The 1,868-nt window shown below is 46.5% G+C and overlaps 1 annotated feature.

Moving 5' to 3' along the window:
* Positions 804 to 1,098: a silencer, noted in NCBI's record as "tiled region #3217; HepG2 Repressive DNase matched - State 9:DNaseU". NCBI's record gives its function as "represses a minimal TATA promoter and a strong SV40 promoter by Sharpr-MPRA in HepG2 cells {active_cell/tissue: HepG2}" and the evidence as "EXISTENCE:reporter gene assay evidence [ECO:0000049][PMID:27701403]".

Below are 1,868 nucleotides of genomic sequence, written 5' to 3'. Positions count from 1 at the left end.
GTCTGCCAACTGAGAGGACAAATGTGCTAGGTGTGAAAGTGGGCATAAATAATAGAAAAGCATTTTCTTGCATTTCTACATGAGTCTCAGGGTACCCTGACAGACAGCAGAGGGAGGCAGAAAAACAGCCCTGATATCAAAAAGGTTTTCTTCTTGAAAGGAAGCTTTGTAGCAACTGGGCCCAACACTATACAACGAAGGAAAAAAGGAACCCCAGGCAAACCACACCCCCCAGGAGTATGTACTGTATGGGATGGGGTTGGGAGGGTAGAGGGTAGTGGAGGAGGAGGTGCAGAAACTGTTTGTTAATATTTACCCAAATTAATAAGATGTTGAGCAACAGCTTCTACACAAAAGCCACAGTTAAAATTAGTAAGTAGTTCATCCTGTTCTAACAATATGGAATAATTAATTTCCATACTTGGCTTTTTTTTTTCCATAAGCAGTAATTAAAGAGAAATATTATATAGCTGCACCTGTCTTTCACTTTTGGCTTACCACAGTGAGTAAACCCAATCTTTTATTGATGAGAAGAGATGCACGTTGGGAACCCATAGGAAGAGCATCAAAACCCCTCCAGCCTTCCCTTGAGACGTGTGAGAAATCTCAAATTATTAAACCATATGGAGGCCGTACTGCGAGCGGACTGTTCCCACTGTGGGGATGAGGCCTAATTTCTAATTTCCCTCTGACTTTCAGCTCCTCTGAAGGTTTCAGGGCTGTTGAAGGAATAAGGCTTGTCTGCCGAGTAAGGAGACCCCAGTGAATTGGTTACCCCAAGGACAAAGACAGCTGATTTTTCTGCATCCTCTTTCTGCTGCCTTCTCACTGGGCCTGGATTCTCTGCCCCCAAGTGAGTGTGTCAGAAGAGGCCCCAGGGAGGACAGACCAAGTTCAAGTTCAGAGACTCCTGGTGCCGCTCTGTGGACTCCAGCCATCTCTAACTAGCTTATCTGTCCTTGTCCTCAGACAAAGGGCTTTCAGCCACACTGTTAAGGGAAGGCCAGAGCTGGAAGAGACAGGAGAGCTAATATTTGCACAGCACTTCACAGTTTATTCTTTACAGCTCTCACACTCATTATGCAAACTTACTTTGTTCTCCAGCTAAATCCCAGCAGGGAACCTGCCACTGCTGCTGCTTAGAAATTCTGGTTCCTGCCCTTGGTCTCTGATGCTGCCCTACAACCCAGGGACCCTGGACAAACAGGTGCCATGGTGAGGAACACCCTGCCCCACCTTGAACTCCAGTGGGTTTTGTTCCTGGAAATGGGCTGTGCATCAAAATAATGTGGGTGGCCTCTGGTATATCACTCAGGTGGGAACAAAGGTAATTAGAGGCAATGAGCCCTGATGGAGGACTTGGAGTATGCCTTTTCTTTTTTCTTTTTCTTTTACTTTTTTTTTTTTTTTTAGACGAAGTCTTGCTCTGTTACCCAGGCTGGAGTGCAATGGCATGATCTCAGCTCACTGCAATCTCTGCCTGCCGGGTTCAAGTGATTCTCCCACCTCAGCCTCCCAAGTAGCTGGGACTACAGGCACGCACCACCACATCCAGCTAATTTTTTGTATTTTTAGTAGAGATGGGGTTTCACCACATTGGCTAGCCTGGTCTTGAACTCCTGACCTCAAGTGATCTGCCCGCCTCGGCCTCCCAAAGTGCTGGGATTATAGGCATGAGCCACTGTGCCTGGCTGAAGTATGCCTTTTCTTGGACACAAACATGGGCATTGTTTATTCAACTCCAAATGATACAACTTGGGCTGATTAGTAAACACGCTTCCCACAGACTCTACAGTGACTGGTTGTGCAGCACCTGCCACACCGACATGTAATTTAACTTACTGCCTATAACCCCCCACTCAGTTGTG

The sequence above is a fragment of the Homo sapiens genome, chromosome 17 (genome assembly GCF_000001405.40).
Source record: "Homo sapiens chromosome 17, GRCh38.p14 Primary Assembly".
Lineage (NCBI taxonomy): Eukaryota > Metazoa > Chordata > Mammalia > Primates > Hominidae > Homo > Homo sapiens.
Note: the sequence above shows the minus strand (reverse complement) of the source record. Positions and strands in the feature narration are given on the sequence as shown.